The sequence below is a fragment of the Homo sapiens genome, chromosome 6 (assembly GCF_000001405.40).
Source record: "Homo sapiens chromosome 6, GRCh38.p14 Primary Assembly".
Lineage (NCBI taxonomy): Eukaryota > Metazoa > Chordata > Mammalia > Primates > Hominidae > Homo > Homo sapiens.
Window position 1 is genome coordinate 105288978 of NC_000006.12, and position 20774 is coordinate 105309751.

At 41.9% G+C, this 20774-nt stretch overlaps 1 protein-coding gene and 2 pseudogenes across 1 annotated transcript in view; 1 reads left to right on the top strand and 2 right to left on the bottom strand.

Annotated features, from left to right (window-relative positions):
- Positions 1–20774, bottom strand: part of PREP (prolyl endopeptidase) — a 129865-nt gene that overhangs the window by 15760 nt on the left and 93331 nt on the right. The window lies entirely within an intron of this gene.
- On the top strand, positions 9164–9948 carry RPL7AP35 (ribosomal protein L7a pseudogene 35; annotated as a pseudogene).
- Positions 13443–13882, bottom strand: RPL35P3 (ribosomal protein L35 pseudogene 3; annotated as a pseudogene).

Here is a 20774-nt window from a genome sequence, read left to right on the forward strand (position 1 = left end):
TCTCTTCATGATGTACAGTAGCACAGTGAAAACCTAGTACCTCTCAAGGGCTATTTGGTGAAGCACCTTTCAGTTTTTATGGAGAGAATGTAGAACAGTTTAAAGAGGCTGCGTTTGAAAACAGGGAGACCTGCATTTGAATTCTTATTCCACAACTATCTTGCAGGATGCCCTTCACACATCGTTTATCCTCTCCCAGCCTCAATTCTGCATCCCCACATGTGGCCATCGTGCCCACCTCTCCAGGCCTTCCCGGGGCACACAGAAAACAGGCTTTCCATTCTCTGCTCCTTCTCATCCCTCTCAGTGCTGGGAGGGGCACATTTGCCATCCTGCCAAGCAACTCAACCTAGTGAGACTTATATTCCAGAAAACAAATTTCATATTCAACTTCCTCTCTAAATGTTAAGATGCTCAAGACGTCATTTTTCTATGCTGAACTACTAAACAAATGCTAGCAGCAACAAAATTTATTAGCTTAGAAAGTTGATGAGGAAAATCATAGAAATCCTATTATTCCTGGTTAAACAAAGACCCTTCTCTCCACTATTGATAATTAAGGTTCATAAAGCCTTCTTGAATCTGGGCTACCTCTGGCAAGTTCAAAGTAAACATCTCCTTATCCTTTTGGATAAAGGATTTTAAAAAAAGCCATAAGGAAGGGAACATTAAAAGCTAGTCAACTGATAAGCCATAGAATAAATAAGCCACAAAAAGCTGATAATGCTTTTTTTCCCAAAAGGAAAAGCTGTGAATAGCTTTCTCTTTGTGTAAACATGGTGTTTTTACCCCCAAACAACCCCTGGAAAGTGCTCCAGTTTGGAATCATCTTGTTGACCTTACGTTCCAGTCATGGGCATAAGCCTTTACACTTCATGTGACCTGGAGCCATATTTTATCCATAGCTTTTTAAGGTAGCAGTTCTGTTGCGCAAAGTTGCCACAAAGTCCATAGAAATAACCATGGTGGGGGAAGGGCGGAGGGGGAGAGTGGCAGGGATGCAGATTTAGAGATAGGAGTTATAGGACCATGATAAACGCCTGCAATCTGGTAGCTTTTTGAAACCTGCCAAGAAACAGTAACATAAAAAGCATTTGTTTCGGACTCTGCAGAGAAATACTGAGATATACATTTAAATTTGGCATCTGACGAATCATGGAGAATACACTTCAGAGTTCAAAATTATCAGAGGGGATACAGTTTTATTTAAAGTTATTTAGTGCCAGTTAGCAGCCACCAACAGAGTGTAACTGTGTGGGTAGGTACAAGTAAACACGGAGTAAGAGGAACAAGTTCCAAGGGACTGGCTGGGATTAGTGAGCTAAAATACATAGCCTTCAACTCAAGAGTTAGAATTCACAGCACTATACCCGCAGAGGCAACAGCATCAATGAGCAAGCGAGCAAACCGTCTCACATGATGCTACCTTCACTGTTCGAAAAATCATCTGTTCAAAAAACCGAATTCCCTCCAACTACCCCCAGCTTCTCATCTAGTTTCAAATCCAGGTCCAGCTGAATTCTCCCCAGGCTGACCCCTCCTCATGTACCCTGATCTTCATGCAGCCAGCTGGACTGATACACTCCTCATCCCAGCTGACTCTCAGACCCTCCATCATTCCCAAAGTGCTCTCTTGATGCTTCATGACAATTCAACTTCCTCCTCCCATATCACTTTTCTTGCTACCATCTGTAAGATTTCCAGTATCTGAAAGCCAGCCTGCAACTCTCTTATCTGACTCCAGGACAAAGGCATCCTTGGAGAAAACCATTGAAAGCACAAAGTTCCCATTATCCCTGTAGTTGCAGAAATATATCCAAGCTTTAAGTTGGTGTGGTTCTAATGCTAAAAACAATATTTTGAAAGCGGTCCAAAATGAAAGGACATTGTGAAGATGACTTAATTGTGGGCAAGAAAACTCCTTACAAGAAGTTTCTTTATTTTAGTCTTGAAATAAACATACAGGCATACCTCGGAGATATATTGATTTTTTGGTTCCAGACAACCACAATAAAGCAAGTGATACAAATTTTTTGGCTTCCCAGTGCATATAAAAGTTATGATTACACTAGACTGTAGTCTATTAAGTATGCAATAGCATTATCTAAAAAATGTGCATGCCTTAATTAAAAAATGCTTTATTGCTAAAAAAAACACTAATGGTTATCTGAGACTTCAGCAAGTCATAACCTTTTTTGCTGGTGGAGGGCCTTGCCTTCGTGTGGATGGCTACTGATAGATCAAGGTGATGGCTGCTGAAGGCTGGAGTGACTGGCATTTTCTTAAATGAAGATACCAATGAAGTATGCCACAATGATGGACTTTTCCTTTCATGAAGGATTTCTCTGTAGCATGCAATGCTGTTTGTGATGGTTAATACTAAGTGTCAACTTGATTAAATTGAGGGATACAAAGTATTAATCCTGGGTGTGTCTCTGTGGGTGTTGCCAAAAGACATTAACATTTGAGTCAGTGGGCTGGGGAAGACAAATCCACCCTTCATCTGGTGGGCACAATCTAATCAGCTTCTAGTGAATATAAAGCAGGCAGAACAACATGAAAAGGAGAGACAGGCCTAGCTTCCCAGCTTACATCTTTCTCCCATGCTGGATGCTTCCTGCCCTCAAACATCGGACTCCAGGTTCTTCAGTTTTGGGACTTGGACTGGCTCTCCTTGCTCCTGAGCTTGCAGACAGCCTATTGTGGGACCTTGTGATCATAAGTTAATGTTTAATAAACTCCTGTCCTTCTAAGAGAACTCTGACCAATACACTGTTTAATAACATTTTACTCACAGCAGAACTTCTTTCAAAATTGGAGTCAATCCCTTCAAACCCTGCCACTGTTTTATCAATTAAGTTTATGGAACAAACTAAAACCTTTGTTGTCATTTTAACAATGTTCACTGCATCTTCACCAGGAGTAGATTCCATCTCAAGAAACCACTTTATTTGCTCACTCCTAAAAAGCAACTCCTTATCCATTCAAGTTTTATCATGAGATTTCAGCAGTTCAATCACATATGCAGGCTCCACTTCTAATTCTCGTTCTCTTGCTATTTCCCCAACATATGCAGTGACTTCCTCCTTTGAAATCTTGAACCCTTCAGAATCATCCATGAGCGTTACAATCACTTCTTTCAAACTCCTATTAATGCAGATATTCTGACCTCCTCCCATGAATCATGAATGTTCTTCATGGTATCTAGAATGGTGAATCCTTTCTAGAAGGTTTTCAATTTACTTTGCCCAGATCCATCAGAGGAACGTATGGCAACTACAGCCTTACAAAATGTATTATTTCTCAAATAATAAGACTTGAAAGCCAGAATTACTCCTTGATCCATGGGCTGCAGAATGGATGTTGTGTTAGCAGGCATGAAAACAACATTCACCTCCTTGTACAGCTCCATCAGAGTTCTTGGGTGACTAGATGTGCCGTCAATGAGCAGTAATATTTTGAAAGGAATCTTTTTTCTGAGAAGTAGGTCTCAACAGTGGGCCTAAAATCTTGAGTAAACCTTGGTGTAAACAGATGTGCTGTCACCCAGCTTTGTGTTCCATTTCTAGAGCACAAAGTAGATTTACCACAATGCTTAAGGGCCCTGGGATTTTCAGAATGGTAAATGAACACTGGCTTAGCCCCTAAGAAGAAAGTCAGCCTGTCCCTTGAAGCTTTGAAGCCAGGCACTGACTTCTCTCTAGCTATGAAAGTCTGAGATGATATCTTCTCCCAATATAAGGCTGTTCTGTCTACATTGAAAATCTGTTGTTTAGTGTATCCACCTTCAACAGTGATCTTAGCTAGATCTTCTGGAGAACTTGCTGCAGCTTCTACATCAGCACTTCCTGCTGCATCTTGCACTTTTATGTTATGCAGACGGCTTCTTTCCTGAAACCGTATGGCCCATCCTCTGTTAGCTTCACACTTTTCTTCTGCAGCTTCGTCACCTCTCTTAGTCTTCACAGAACTGAAGAGAGTTACTGCTTTGCTATGGATTTGGCTTTGGCAAATGTTGTAGCTGGTTTGATCTTCTATCCAGACCACTCAAACTTTCCCCATATCAGATATAAGGCAGTTTTGCTTTCTTATCATTCATGTCTTCACTGAAGTAGCACTTTCAATTTTTTCAAGTTATTTTCCTTTGCATTCACAACTTGGGTAACTTGTACTGAGACAGACCAAAAGCTAGCCAGGCCTCTTGCACATTCCTTCCTCACTGAGCTTAACCCTTTCTGGCTTTGACTTAAAGTGAGATGTGAGAGTCCTCCTTGCATTTTAACATTTAGAAGCCACTGGAGGGTTGTTAATCGCCCTAATTGAGACCCAAGGAGAGGGAGTGAGACAGGAAATGGTCAGTGGAGCAATCAGAACACATACAATATTTATCAATTAAGTTCACAGTCTTATACGGGTGTGGTCTTATACCACAAAACAATTACAATAGTAACATTGAAGATCACTGATGAGGGATCTCCATAACAAACACAATAATAATGAAAAGCTTTGAAGTATTTTGAGAATTATCAAAATGTGACACAGAGGCATGAATAAGCACATGTTGTTGAAAAAATGGCACTGACAGACTTGCTTGATTCAAGGTTGCCACAAACCTTCAATTTGTAAAAAAAAAAAAAAAAAATGCAATTATTTGTGAAGCTCAGTAAAATAAAGTATGCCTGTACATACAATATACATACGTATAAATATTTTATCAAATTCCTCTATGGACACGTGCACACACTCAGCAGTATTTTCTGCCATTTCCATTGATGGAATGGTAATTGAGACTAAACCTAAACCTCCCTCTTCAATAGAAGGGCAAATAACCTGAGTCTTTTGATAACTATGGAAGGAATCCATGTAGACATTTTCGAAACAGCCATTCAAAACAGCCTAGGCATTTTCCATCACGTACTTTCTACTTCTTTGATTTAACCAAAACTGGTTTCCTCCTGAAGCCAGTTTTTCCCCCTTTGTATTTTCATGGGTACAAAGAAGCTCCTTCTTTCAAAGCTTTTCTTTAAGAGGCTTTGGGAGTGTTTCCTTTCTCATTGTCCTGAATTTGCTGGGTCAGGAGAAGAAGCTAACAAACTCCTTGCTTCCATTTGCTTCCCACACTTGGCCAAGAAGCTCCACATCAGAGTCTACACCAGTGGTTTTTGAGCCTTATTGACTGGGCCTACATATCTGTGAAGAAACTGTTAAAAATACAGTTTTCCAGGCTTTATCCCCAGAGATTCTGATACGACAGGTCTAGGGCAGAGCCCCCAAACGTGCAGATTTAATACATATCCTACATACTCTGTGGCAGGTGGATCTGGGCTCAAAACACTGGTCAGACCATCTGCTTTTGTCACTTCCTCTTTCCTTACCAATTAATATCAACTAAAACCAGAAGTTTTCCCACAATTCTTGATCATTTTAATACAAGTCTCTATACTTCTCTTTACCTAGGTCTCCTGTGATTTCCCTCAGTGACTGTAACAGTGAAACCTGTCCAGCATCCTCACCTTAGAGATACCTGAATGCCTCAACACCAAGATCTTAGTTTCCACCCTACCCTAGCCGCTGGTTCCCTCCAATGTTTGCTGTGTGTCTATTATGTGCCAGGGACTGCACTCAGCCCTAGAGATGTAAAGAAGGCGAGCTGCATAATCCCTGCCCTCATGGGACTTAAGAGTCTCCTGAGACAAACCAACAGCACAACGCTCACCCATCACCTTGGTTATACCTTGGCCCTTAGAGCCTGAATTTCTTCTGCAAAGAACTAGGACAACCCACCTTGTAGCTCCAACTTGCTCTTTCGCCACTTCTGTCATTTCCTTACCCCTGGAATATCTGCTTTTATTTTTTTAAAAAACTCTTATGAAGACGTTCAGTTCTTTATATTCTCTCAGGCTGTCAGCATCGCTTGGGCTTTCCTTGCCCAGCTTGGGACCCTTGGACAGCTCTTTAAATGTTACTAAATCCGGAACTCCTCTAATTCTGACCCTAACCCATTGGATTCCTTCTCCTCCCCCAGGCTGCTGGACACTCCGGAAATGGCAACTTGCTTCATTACAAATGAATACTTGATCTCAGCTGGGCTCTGAACTTAGGTCTTATGTCTTTTCCTTCCTCAAAGTCTTCCATCTTTTCCCACCTAAATCAATTCAAGAGTAGTTTCCAATGTTTTCCTTTTTTTTTTTTTTTTATTTCTGACACCACCATTTGCATCCCTCTCTGCCTCTGGCCTTGCCTATCCCTCACAGGGTCCATCTGCTTGTAGCTCCTGGTAAAGCTTCTGCTAACTTCATTCAGCCTCTGCAACCCCAGAGAAAGGAGGATCGCCCTGTCTTGATTCCATTCCTTACTGCCTCCACTACTACTGTGCTCTTTCAATTATTACAGCTTTTGTTTTTTGTATTTTTTCCCTTTCTTTGGCATACAGATAGACTCAAATTTCTCCTATCCTAGCCAACAAAACCTTATGTATCACCCTGTCTGCCTCTTAAGCTACATCTCCATCTTCCTAATCATTAATCCCGAGTACCCCATACTCACAGCTCACCACTTTCCCACCCCATTGATTCCTATCCCCACCCCTGCTCTTTCAAAGGTCATCAATGAACGTTTCTGTCTTTCTCATTGCCTCTCCATCCCTGCCTCTATCCTGTTGGTGTATGTCCTTCCCAACATTTTCATGATTGCATAGAGACACGCCTATTTATATGTTCAAATACACATAGGAGTTATTATTATATAGTGATAAATGGAATCGGGCTAATACTGGGCTATGATTCATTCTCTCTCCTCTTCACTTAGCAATTTATCATGGAATTCTTTTCAGAGTAAAACACCCAGATTTATCTCATTTAAAAAATGGCTGCCTAATATTTCATTCTACAGATGCACACACATTTAACCATTTTCTCATTGATATTTAGGCTATTCTTTATGTTCTGTGATTGGTAATGATGGAATAAATTCCTTTTAGATAAATCTGGTATTCTCGTGGTATGATTTATGTATGATATATTCTTAGACATGATACTGCTAAATCGAAGTATACGTGCACCCAAAAATTCAATAAATTTGGACCAAATATTCTCCAAAGAGAACTTAACAACTTAGGTGCCCAGTGACAATGTTTGCCTAAATGTCCATGCCTCATCAGCAGTGGATGTTAAAATGGATTTTAATTTTTACTAGTGTAATAGGCAAACACTGCCATTTCCTTACTGTATTTTTTTTATTAGCAAACATTTTCATAGTCATGTTATATTTTGTCCTTGGAGAACAAAGTATACCTGCTCTTTTATTCTGTTACTTCTCCTTTCTGATTACAGAAATTTATCTTACATTGAAGGGTAGTAACCTTTTTTCTATCATGCTTTGTTTATATTTTGTCCCAGTACACCAACAGTTTTTTTTTTTAACTTTCTCTGTGGTGTCTTGAGGTGCAAGAAGGTGTTAATATTTATGTACCCAAATATCTGTTTTCCCTTTTAGCTTCCTCTCTTATAAAACATTCTCTACTCCAAGTTATAAAAATATTTGTCTATAATTTCATCTTGATTTTTTACATTTATATTTTATGTTTACATATGGTCTGGGATCTAACTACTTTTCCCCAAATGGCCAACTATTATACACCATTTATTGGAGAATCTGTTCTTTTCCTCTCATTGTTCAGAAATGACATTTTTGAATGGTTCCTTTCCAGGTCTCATCCCTTTCAATCCCTATATGGCAACTGCTTCTTTGGCTTCCTGGGTGGAGTATTTCTCTGGTTCTTCTTCATTCCTCGAAATCTTTTTCAACCTTCCTAATTGATCCATTATTGCCTCCTCTTCCTTCTGTTTTGCAATTTTCTATACTTGGCTGTCTCTTTTCAAGTTCCCTCTTTGCCATCTCAGAGAGCTCCAACAATCTGCTCTATGCAAAGGACCTCCATGTCCACATCTGCAGGCCCATAGCCAGACATGTGTTTCCTGGAAGTCACCTGTGAGGGGCTGGTTAAGAAGCCCATCAAGTTGCCTAGGCTATGGGGGTTCATGATCTCATGTGGCAGATGGCCTGTTCACATCTCCAAATCAACGTGCCCAGACACACCTGTGTACATGCTCCTCCATGGGCCTCTTGCTTGGGCTAATAGCAACACTCTCTTCTCAGCCACCCTACTTTCAACCCTCAGGATCATCTTGTGCCAAGGCCCCCTACACCCAGGCACCCATGTGGTCATTTGGTTTCACAAGCAAGTGTCTTCTCTGTCATTTATACAGACAAACCAGCTCAGAGCTCTCTACTTCACTAGCATCATGACTAACCAGTCTCCCTGACTCCTCTCATCGGCTACAGTGGAGTTGTGGTAGGAATATTAGAACCTTAAACTATTATTAGTAACATATAAAATGTCATTTATACATCTATATAACAGCCATTAGTGCTTGATAAGTAGACAGTTGCCAAAGCTTAAATGCACGTGTTGTTTCTTTACTTGGTAGTTTATTGCTACCACAGTACTCAGGTTCAAGTTAAACAAAATTACTTCCTTTTCCTTTTTCCCATACTGTAACCAATGAGAGAGCTGATAATACACCTCCATTCTTTCTGAGTGTCCACTGTGCACACAGTTCTGTAGTGGGATGCCAAAGCTTTTATGGGACCCTCAATGGACAGGAAAACAAAGTGCTCACATGGGATCTAACAGATGCCCACTTGAGTAATAGGAAAAGTCTGTCTGTCTTCCAGGGCTAACAGCTCATCATGTGAGGCACACAGAGCCCTGTCTTCCTTCTTCTTGTCAACAGCAGAGTAAATGAGTTGTACAATAGATCCAGTTCAACAAGGAGCCTGGACCTGGCACCCCCTTTCACCTTAACAGACTACAAGCACCACCAAAGAATCCACAATGAACAGATAAGATTGTCTTTGGAAGCATCGGTAAGATCTCATAAGCGGGACTATCTTAGAGTACATCGATATGAAGCCTTCATGAGGGACACAGAAGATAAAACCAAACATTACGACAGTGATTCAAACTCACAGTTAGTTCTAAGCATTAGTGAGCCAGCCCGCGGCTGACCGAAGTTACATGCTAAATTAAGAAAGCTTCTTTCCTTAATTTCATTTTCTTCTTCTTTAAACGTTAGACTCTGTTGGCATCTTGGGCAGCTGGAGACGGTGGCCCCAGTCCCTGTTGTGAAGAAGCAAGCAGCCAAGGTGATGAATCACCTGAGAGAGACCCAGAAATGTTGGCACTTGCAGGACATCTGGCCCCAAGAGACCTCACCTGCTTTGTCAAGTGACCCTGCTACATCCAGCTGCGGTGACAAAGGGCTGTCCTCTAAACATGGCTGAAAGTGCCTTCATGAGCAACCAGTTCGTCCAGGCCTTGGGCAGCAAAACAGCACTCAGCTGCCTAGGCTGGCTCACAGGTACTGACCAGAGACAGTGCAAGAGAAGAACTGATGGCTGCTGGCCCGGGCTGAGAAGAAAGCTGCCAGCAAAGGGGAGGTCCCCACTGGAGACCACCTGTCCTTGGTGCAGGGGTTGACACTGTTGCTACCTTGTGGGAGAACAAGGTGGCTCAACTGGTGGTGACTGCGCACGACATGGATCCTTTCCAGCAGGCTGTCTTCCCATCTGCCCTGTATCATGAAAGGGGGTTCCCTACTACATCATCAAAGGAACGGCCAGACTGGGACATCTAGTCCACAGGGAGACCTGCACCAGTGTTGCCTGCACACAGGTTAACTTGGAAGACAAATGAGCTCTGGCTAAGCTGGAGGAAGCTACCAGGACCAGTTACAATAATGGGTATGCTAAGATCACTGTCACCGGGGAGGCAATGTCTGGGGTCATAAATCTGAGGCTTGCATTGCCAAGTGGCAAAAGGCAGAGGTCAAAGAACTTGCCACTAAACTGGGTTAAATATATACTGCTGAGTTTCTGTACTTAAAATTCTCCTTCAAAAAAACCAAAAAACCTTAAATTCTTCATTGTGGAGACGCACAGCAGCATAACAATATTATTCCACATCCCAAACCAATAACATTAAGCACCGCAAGGCTGTAAGGAACCACACCCTTCATGAAGCCCACACTGATTCTTGATAGAGGGCTGAGAAGGGTATTTTCTGAGCAGCCACAAGACTGTGCCACCTGGTAAACAAAAGCTGGTGTCAGTTCTTTCTCAGCCCTGAGGATATAAGATAATAATAGTAAATTCTGGGACTTTAAAATGTTTCAGATATAGGGAGAGGTTGTCACTCCAGGCTGTCATCCAGCTAGCAGTCCTCTCTTATTTTACAAATGACAAAATAAGATTCAAGAAGATAAAGATACCTGCCAAGGGTTGGGTACAGTGGCTCATGCCTGCAATCCCAGAACTTTGGGAGGCCAAGACGGACAGATCACTTGAGGACAGGAGTTCAAGACCAGCCTGGCCATCATGGCAAAACCCCATCTCTACTAAAAATACAAAACTTAGCCAGGCATGGTGGAGGACACCTGTAGTCCCAGCTATTCAGGAGGCTGAGGCACGAGAATCTCTTGAACCCAGAAGGCAGAAGTTGCAGTAAGCCGAGATTGCGTCATTACACTCCAGCCTGGGCAACAGAGCCAGACTCTGTCTTTAAAAAAAATACCCGCCAAGGCAACACTGCCAGCTTATGGCACATTACTACCAAGGTCTCCCAAGTCCCTGTTTCAGTGTTTTTTTCCTACTATATCACAAAGTAATTAACTTCAAGTTATTACTTCCTTGTAAATATCTTTATTGGGTGCAATTATACAAAATGTTGAAAGTGTTAGAGCCTTTGGTATAGATTTAACACATTCATTTCTTCTTCCCCAAGACAATGACCACCTATCTCTAGGGAATCCTGGGGACAAATATCATTCTGCCAGAGATGCTATCCCTTATTTGCTTCTCTGCTTTTTTTTTTTTTTGAGACGGAATCTCACTCTGTTGTCCAGGCTGGAGTGAAGTGGCATGATCTCAGCTCACTGCAGCCTCTGCCTCCTAGGTTCAAGCGATTCTCCTGCCTCAGCCTCCTGAGTAGCTGAGAATACAGGTGTGCACCACCACACCCGGGTAACTTTGGTATTTTTAGTAGAGATAGGGTTTCACCATGTTGGCCAGGATGGTCTCGATCTCTTGACTTTCAGTGATCTGCCCATCTCAACCTCCCAAAGTGCTGGGATTATAGGCGTGAGCCACCGCGCCCAGACTGTTTTTGTTATTTTCTTAAAAAGGAGACTCACTCAAACATTTCAAAAGCGATATTCCAGATACAAGAGGGGCTGCTGTTACTATTTTAGCAAAATGAGTCAGCTTAGAAAGATGATCCTTCTCCACACAGTCATTAGTGTTACCATCTTGAAGACAGATTATTAAAACAATAAAAATCCCACTATATCTTGCCATGGCCATTCTACCAAAAAAATTCCATTTCAATAGTATTTTTTTAAGGCTTAACAGACACAATTCATTTCACAAATAAAAAAATGCTTGAGCAAATCATAAAGCTATCCCAACTTTTTAAGTAATCAATTAAATTTAAAGCAGCTTCTGATTTTGCACATTTAAAACCATATTCTAAGAATAATTGTTTAACAGATAAGAACTCACAGATCCTTGAGCTGAATGCTTTATGTTAAAAAAAAAAAACTACTGAAGAAATGGTGTACATTTATATAAAGTACATAAGTCTAAAGTTTCAGAAATCCCATCTCTGTTGTCAAGCACAACTTTCCAGAGGCATCACCAATGATAAAGCAGTTTAACTCTGGAAGCATGTTTTAGCACAAGAGGGCAATCACTAAACACACATCTAGCTGCCTTAACATGTAAATCTGATTTCAAAAAAAAAAGAATATCTTCCTTTAAAGAAAAAAGAGAAGTAAATATGACAAATCAATGGAACATTACTGTTCCTTCAAATCAATGACCTTAGTTGTGCAAAGATCAACTGTCTCTCTTGAAATTATTATTCTCCTTGAGATGCGTACATTTAGTAATAAAATCAATTGTGTTAAGACGCACGAATGTGCAATCAGTTAGGTTCCTGAAAACAATCTTCAGTAATGCATTTGATGCAGTTCAGATACTGAGCTATCTGAGGCAAATGCCAGGACTCCCATTATCGCCAGTCATGAGATGTGCTCATCTATGAAAGATGAAGGTAGGCTGCAAAGGGCAGCCCCTTCAGACAGAAGAATGTCTGGTGATAGCAACTCCTGCCTAATTTTAGAGCCTGACAGGTTTAAAGGAGAATGTTCATAAAAGGGTGTTGAGCTCCCCCTTTTTATCAGAGTTGACAGAGGCCACTTGTGTGGTCTGTGCTACGTGTGCCAAATAAATCTGACAAGGAGCAGAACTGCTCTGAGTCCACAGGCAGCATGCAGAGGAACAAGACATTCCATTACCAAAAGAACTGGACAGTAGGCGGGCAAACTCCGTGCTTCAGTTACCCTGTAACATGAGCATATGAAGAACTTCCTAGGACTTAGAGGGAGGCATTACATGTTTCTGTGCTGTACTAAGGTGAAAAATGCTAGCCTGGCATTAGAAGGTTGTCATCTTGTCTATGTTCCAGGCATTTAACTTTTGGGGAGTAGAGAGGAGTTTAAGAGTCATCTTTGGGCAGAAAATACAGAAGGAAAGTCTATTCCAGACTGCTTTAGTTAGTTTTTCCAAGGATGGCTGGGCATTTTGGTAACACTGGGGATTTAAAAGCTCCCTTAGGATACCTCAATTACAGCAAAGTCAGTCTATTTAAAATCTGTTTTAACTTTTAGTACATTTCTTGAGCACCAACAATGTGCTAAGTGCTATACTGATCATCTCTGCAGAAATTCACCAGCTCTCTAAGGCTCAGCCATCTGTTTTTTGGAATAATACGCCTTTTCCCAGTCTCAAACTGTGAAGCCAAAAGCGAAATAGAAAGTGGAAGTTCTGAATACAAGGAAAGAAGGGCAGTGAAGGAGGCACAGCTGGATCTCGTGCTATGGCACTTTGATGAGTTTATTTGGATTTTAGCAGTAACCTGGTGTTTTGAGGTAGAAAGACACACAGGGCTAGGATGAATAAATCTGACTTGATTGTAGAACATCAAAGCCATCTTCAGTTCCACTGGTCTGATCTCTTTGTAGTTAATGAAGACACACAATCAGACATTTTCATTAAAAGTGAAGGAACCCTGCTACACGCGGAGGCCCAGAGAAAGCAGCGTCTGTTTTGGTACAGGCAGAAACTGCCCTGTAACATGGCTCACTGCAATGGGATTTATGCTGCACATGGAAGGCATATGCTGTGTGTTTTGCTCCTGCATGAGAACCACATGATGAGTCCATCATCAGAGGGTTATGAGTTCTGCATTGTTTGCCTTCAATAAATATTTGTTGAATGAATACAGAATTGCATATTAAATACACACTTTTCTTTTGTTCTCTTCGGCCAGCTCTCTTTTATTGACAATGTGACGTTCAGGCGTTCACTGTGTACTTCTGCAGCGGGTACGGCCGCTCCTTCCGCGGCTGCTGCTTGGTCTTCAGGTTCTCCTCGTGCTTGCTGGGCCAGTGGCGCAGGCGCATGTTTTCTCAGGCCGCAGGTCCAGGGGCTTGTACCTCTTGCCCTTGTAGAATTTCCTGAGGTTTTCTTTGTGTGAGTCTGGTTAATTACGGTGAGAACACGGGCAATGGAATTGTGGATGACACGGATCTTAGAGAGCTTGGAGACCGCGCCGCCTGTCAGTGGCGATGCGCAGCTGGGACAGCTCCACCTTCAGGTCGTCCAGCTGTTTGAGCAGCAACTCTTTCTCCTTCCCGTGAAGGTCCCGAGACTTGATCTTAGCCATTGCTGCACAGGCCGCCCCCGCCGCCTGCTCCGAGGGCTAAATACTCTCTTTTTGACCCTCAAATACCTATACCAGCTTACCTCAGGTCCGGAGCTCAAAGTCATTGTAGCTACCTCTCCCACACCATCTTATCCCTGCCTGCCTGCACAGGGGCCTTGGCTTCCAGGACTCCTGCTTCCAATCTGAGCACCTGTTACCAGATTAATCCATGTAAAACCTCCCTTTTAATCTAAGTCACTCTACTATTCAAAACAGGCAATGCCTCTCCATTCTCTACAAAATGAAGTCCATGTATGTATGTATGTATGTATGTATGTATGTATGTATGTATGTAAAGCAATCCTCATCCTCCTGGCTCAGCCTCCTGAGTAGCCAGGACTTCAGGCATGCACCACCACATGCAGCTAATTTTTTATTTTTTGTAGAGACATGGGTCTCATTACGTTGTCCAGGATGGTCTCAACCTGCTAGCCTCAAGCAATCCTCCTGCCTGGGCCTCCCGAAGTGCTGGTGTGAACCACCAAGCCCATCCAAAGTCCACGTTTTAGACCAGCAATTAAAGCTCTCCACTTTCTGCCTTCAACTTCTCTCAGTTCTTCCCAACTTCAACCAGCCTCTCTAGTGATATTGCTGTTTCGCATCTCCAGAGCCCCAATCCCAATGTCACATGCCTTTCTAAACCAAATCATGACTGAAAAAAAAAAAATCTATTGGCTCTTAGAAGTTCACTTGTTTGACCTCCTCCTCCCTCCCCTATCCAATGCAGACACCCACAAAGCTACATCTCAGGCAGGTTCATCCTTTGCTTAAATATTTCTAGTAACAAGAAAGAAACTTAAAACAGCACAAATGGCCATTCATTGCATTTTGGAGCCTCTCTGTTAGAAAGTTATTCCTTACCTGAAAATGTTAAAATAACCAAAACCAAAAGAAACAAAAGTTAGCCAAGGTTCTGCAGACAGAACCTAGTGACAGAACCTTGCAAGCTAATTATCAACTAAAGTTTCCATACATTTAAAAACAAATGTTAAAATACCTGCCAGTTAGTTTCTATATTTTTCACAACAGAGTTTTCTTTAGTTCATACTTTGGTCAAAATTCACATTATTTATTTTACTTGACTTGTTTAAAACACTTATTTAGTTCTTACCATGTAACAAGCAAGCACTAGTCTAAGGGCTTTAAAAATATTCTCTCATTTTAATCCAAATATGAGGTCTATACAGTTGGCTCTCTACATCCATGGGATTCACATCTGCAGAGTCAACCAATTGTGGATTGAAAAATTTTTTTTAAACCCAACAAAAAATAATAATACAACAATAAAAAATTTAAAGAACAGGAGAGTATAACAACTATTTACATAGTGTTTACTTTGTATTAGGTATTATACACAGTCTAGAGATAATCTAAAGTGTGTGGGAGGACAACCATAGGCTGTATGCAAATGCCGTGCCATTTTATATAACAAACTTGAACATCCTCAGATTTCGGTATCCACAGGGTGTCCTGGAACCAATCCCCTGTGGAATGTACTACGAATACCCCCACTTTTCAGCTGGGGTCATTCTGACGCAGATAAATTGTTAAGTAAGGAACCCAAGTCATACATCTCGTAAACTATGGAGTCAGAATTTGAACCCAAGCTTTCTGGCTCCATACTGTATGCTCTTAGCCACTGTAAAAAGGAAATCAGCCAATCCCCTCCCCCTCCTCTGGGGGCCCCTCCTGAACTCACCATGGCACTGTATTGTGCTCCCATGTGTCCCCGTTCTAGGCCTGTGCATCTATTTGCCTCTGTATCCAGCAAGGTACCCAGAAGACAGTAGGTGCTTTGAAAACATGCTACATCAAGACATAAATTAATGCCCAAACTGGACCCTACATTTCAATTAAATAATATCAGAAAAGGTAGTTTGAATGGTGTTTCATTAAAAAAAAATTTATACAGAGCAGCCTAGAGTCTTGCCTGAAAATCCTTGTAAGTTGAAAAATAATAAGATAAAATTAACTCTGGTTCAGGCACTTAAGAGATTACATAAGCTTTCTGAGGTCACAAATTTCCAACTTATTACTAATGAAAAATATTTAACATCTGACATTTTCCTTATGTGTAGCTGTTAATCTATTAATTTGGCAATGCCAGGGCAGAGGAGCTTTATGGGTTCTTAAACTGTTTAGTTATGGTAATTTGCTGCATGAGATTGCACCTGCATAATAAAAACCCAACAAGGATATGTGAAATCCATTTCAAATCCTCATTAACTCAAAACTACAGCAGACCACTTACTTGTTTTATTGTAAGTAGAAAAATAAAATTAATAACCAAAATGCTGAAAAGACAAACTCTGGTCAGAATGTTCATTAATAGAACAGAAGAGAACTGTGCAGCCTTAAAAATTTGTGGCTGGTAACTATTCACCCCTTAAAAGGGTGAACTACTAAAGAGAGGCAGATGTTAGTGGGGAAAAAGCAGAGCAGTGTTTGTGCAACCAAGCAGTTCATGGCAGTGTGGGGGATTAAATGGGACTGTATGAAGCTGAGTGTGGCCCCGAATTAAGGACAGCATCAACAGAAGTCCTAGAATCAGGAAGCTGGCATAACTGTTCAATACCATTTTTTTGTTTTGCAAAGAGGTGGTCAATTAGAAGAGACTGAACTAGAGGCGTAGAGGCGGTATCACAAATAGCTACTGGGAAGTAACTCACTAGTGGGGTGGGGAAAAACGGGGCAGGGGGGACATGAAGGCAAATCACAAAGCAGAAATCCTGCTGTGAAGGTAAAAGAACAAATTCTTTTTGATTTATATTCTGAACTTGGCTGTGTGAAATGTTTTATATTTGTGCAGTGGAATAACAGTAGCAGAAATCTTATCAGTCAAATCATATATATCTTTTTTGACAGCCCAGACATGCCTCCCACCACTCTAGCCCCAGCATTATCATCATAGACAGATTTTTGCATATTCCTTTGTTTCTAAACACAGAAATATACTTTTAATCTTACAGATATATCCTTTTCTTTTTTTTTTGGGGGGGACAGGTTCTGACTCTGTCACCCAGGCTGGAGTACAGTGGTACAATCATAGCTCACTTGCAGCCTCAAACTCCTGGACTCAAGGGATCCTTGTGCCTCCGTCTCCTGAGTAGCTGAGACTACAGGTATGTGCCACCATGCCTGGCTAATTTTAAAATTTTTTGTAGAGATGGGGTCTCACCTATGTGTCCCAGGCTAGCCTCAAACTCCTGGGCTCAAGTGATCCTCCTGCCTCGGCCTCCCAATGTGCTGGGATTACAAGCGTGAGCCACCTTGCCCAGCCCTATATATACCTTTTTATTATCACCAGTAATCAAGAAAATGAAAGCTGAAGATGACTAACTGAATCATGTTCACGAAAGATCTAGAAAAGAACATGGTATACTTTACTGATGATAGACGGCATTCAGGATGGTGGATGGGGAATACTGATGATTATGAAGCACTGGGGTGCATACACAAAGGCTGGCAACAAAGTCTGTATGTGGAGTGCAAGAACGTTCATTCAGCGCATTTCCAGTAATATTTCTACTACCTGGTAATTAGCACACATGTCCTGGGCTGTAAGGAACCCCTTCATTCATGAGAAGCAGAGTTAGGCTTCCTGACCCCTCACATGGTCAATCCACTGCTACCTGACATTGACTGGCCCCTCTCATAGTCAAATGCTCACAGCCAATCCCAGCACTGCCCAGTCTATATCCCCTGTGACTTCTCTGCAATACCACACCATCCTCCTTGAAACTCTTCTCCTCTGGCTTCTGTGATGCCAGCTTTTGTGGCTCCTCCTCCTCCTGTGTCCCTAAAATGTGAGACTGTGGTCCTCTTCTCCCACCATACACACTGTTGGAGTTTTCGGCTGTGCCCATGGGCTCCTCCACCACCACCACCATCCCCGCCCCCACCACCCCCTTCACAACTTTCCCTGGAACCTGACTCTAATTCTCTAAGCACCTGGTAGGTAGATGGCCTGATACGAATCCTACACAGGCCCTTAAGGGTCTGGATCTGTCTCCCTTTCCAGGCTCACATGCTATGGGGCTCCAACCAGGCTACTTGCTTATCTGCAGCACTGTGAGGACACCTTTGCTTTTGTACAAGCTATTCATTTCCACTGGATTGGTGCCTTCTAACTCTAGGTTGCTGCATGCTTACAAACATTTGGAAAGCTTTTAGACAAGCTGACCAATAAAAAAGCAATTCTACTAACCTGTAAATTCAGCTGACCTAGTCCTTATTGTGTTTTATGAGACTCTGGGATCATTACTTTGGATTTATTTTCTTCAGACTCTGGATGCTTACAGCTTCATCCTTTTAGTGGCTTTGGCTTTTCTAATATCATGTTTTTAAAAGTAGCTTGTTTCTTGCATTCAACTTCCTTTCCCTTCTTCACTCCTCAGTATTTGTATGAATTTGTATGTATGATTTCTTTTCTTCATTATTTGTTCCTTGTGCTCTTTCCATCTGCCCAAAGCTCCTTTCCAGGAGGCCTTGTTTCCAAGAGGAGCCTTAGATGCTTCTCCTTCTCCAGGTTCCCACAGAACCTGTGAGCAGCTTATTAATATGGTTTTCCCTCCACTGAATTGCTGGAAATGCTTGATTGCATCTCCATTTTCCCTAGTAAACTCTAACCTGCCTTATATTCCCAAAAATAATTATTTCACAGATATTTACTAAGCACACCACCAGTGCATAGTGCTTAATAAATATCTGTGAAATAATTATTTTTATTTGCTTAAGCAATGTTTTCACTCAGTCATTCTTTTCTTTTGAGATGGAGTCTTGCTCTGTTGCCCAGGCTGGGGTGCAGTGGTGAGAGCTCGGCTTACCGCAACCTCCACCTCCCGGGTTCAAGCAATTCTCCTGCTTCAGTCTCCTGAGTAGCTGGGATTACAGGCACCCACTACCATGCCCAGCTAATTTTTGTATTCTTAGTAGAGACAGAGTTTTTCCATGTTGACCAGGCTGGTCTTGAACTCCTGATCTCAGGTGATCTGCCCGCCTCAGCCTCCCAAACTGATGAGATTACAGGTGTGAGCCACTGCGCCCGGCCACACTCAGTCATTCTTAGACACTTACTGTGATTTCTCACTTGAAAATTCCTTTTTATTTAAATTAGGATTAGTCAGTACAACCATCACCATCTTTAGCATCCTTTGGTCTCTTTATGGGGCACGGTGACTTCTGGGGCCTCACTTAGACTAATGCAGCATTCAAGACATTACAAGAAACACAATGAAGAAAACATGCACATAAACCAATACAAATACTGAGAAGTGAAGAAGGAAAAGGAAATTGAATGCATGAAAGAAGCTATTTTTTAAAAAGATGATGTTAAAAAAGCCAAAAGCCACTAAAAGAATGAAGATTTGACCGTCCAGAGGCTGAAAAAAAAATAAATACAAACTAATGATCCTAGATTCTCATAAAACACAATACGGAATGGGTCAACTGAATTTACATGTCAGTAGAATTGCCTTTTTACTGGTCAACTTGTCTAAAAGATTTCCAAACATGTGTACACATGCAACAACCTAGAGTTGGAGGGCTCCAGTACAATAAAAGCATGCTAGGAAAATAGACAAATTTACTTTGATGCTCTATAAGGGAGGCATAGTATAATTTTCTGTTTTGGTTATAAACTATGGCCTAAAATAACTCTTAAAGGCTAGATCACACAAAAAATTTCACAGAAGTAAAACTCGTAGTACAACATTCACTTTTCTGGCAACATTTGTCCATTTCTAGTGGACAAATTACCCTACCAGAGGAGAGGAAGATGGTCCAACACAGAAATATTAAAAAAAAAAAAAGTTTCACTTTTATAGGTTTCTGGCAACAACCAGATCATTTCAGACTCTATCTATCACAACCACTTTCAATCGTCAAGTACTTAAACATATCTACTCTGTGTTCTGGACTCTGGGGACACAGCAGTGGGGAAAACCACATTCTAAAGGGGAGACAGACAGACACATGAATGAAAATCTAATGTCAGCTGGTGATGAGTGCAATGGAGATACGGGTAAGTGAGTGGGGAAGGGCTGCTATAGTACACAGGATGGAGAGCGAAGGAGTCTCTGATCCATGCAGAGTAAGTGACTCTGTATAGTAGAGGATGGAGGGCCAGGAGTAGGGGCAGTCCAGGCAGAGGGGAGGGGTGGAGTGGGTGAGTACATGCATGTATGCCAAGCAAAGCAAGGAGGCCAGAGCGGCTGCAGCAGGCGGGTGAGGGAGAGTGGCAGGAGATGAGTGAGGGAGAGGGCAGGGGCCAGGCTGGTGGGGTCTCAAGGGCATTGCTCAAGGCTGGTCAAACTGGCAGCCAAATGTGATCACGAGGGCTAGGCTATTTATTAAGTAGCCACTTTATCCTATGAAAAAATGGCAATGAGTCCCTACTGTTTTAGTTTTGATCTCAGAACTGACTGCCCTGCCTGCTAACACTGACCCCAGCCAGGATGTCAGCCCACTAATGCATCAAGAATGATATAAATCATTCCCCAAACTGACACCAACACAAACTCTCAATATTGTGGGTGTAATGTGTTTATGCGATCTCGACTCACCGCAAACTCTGCCACCCGGGTTCAAGCAATTCTCCTGTCTCAGCCTCCCGAGTAGCTGGGACTACAGGTGTGTGCCACCATACCTGGCTAATTTTTGTATTTTTAGTAGAGATGGGGTTTCGCCATGTTGGCCAGGCTGGAAAACTACCTTTTTTTCTTTTTTCTTTTTTTATTTTTTAGTTGAAACTCAAGATAAAATAAGTAAGCAAATGGAGAATTCAAGGCCTGAGAGGTCTCACAGAAGGAGAGCAAGGAGCTGGTGCTTGGATTCCCTGCACTGACGCCCCCAGACACTCTTGCACACTCATTCCCTCCTGGCAGAATGG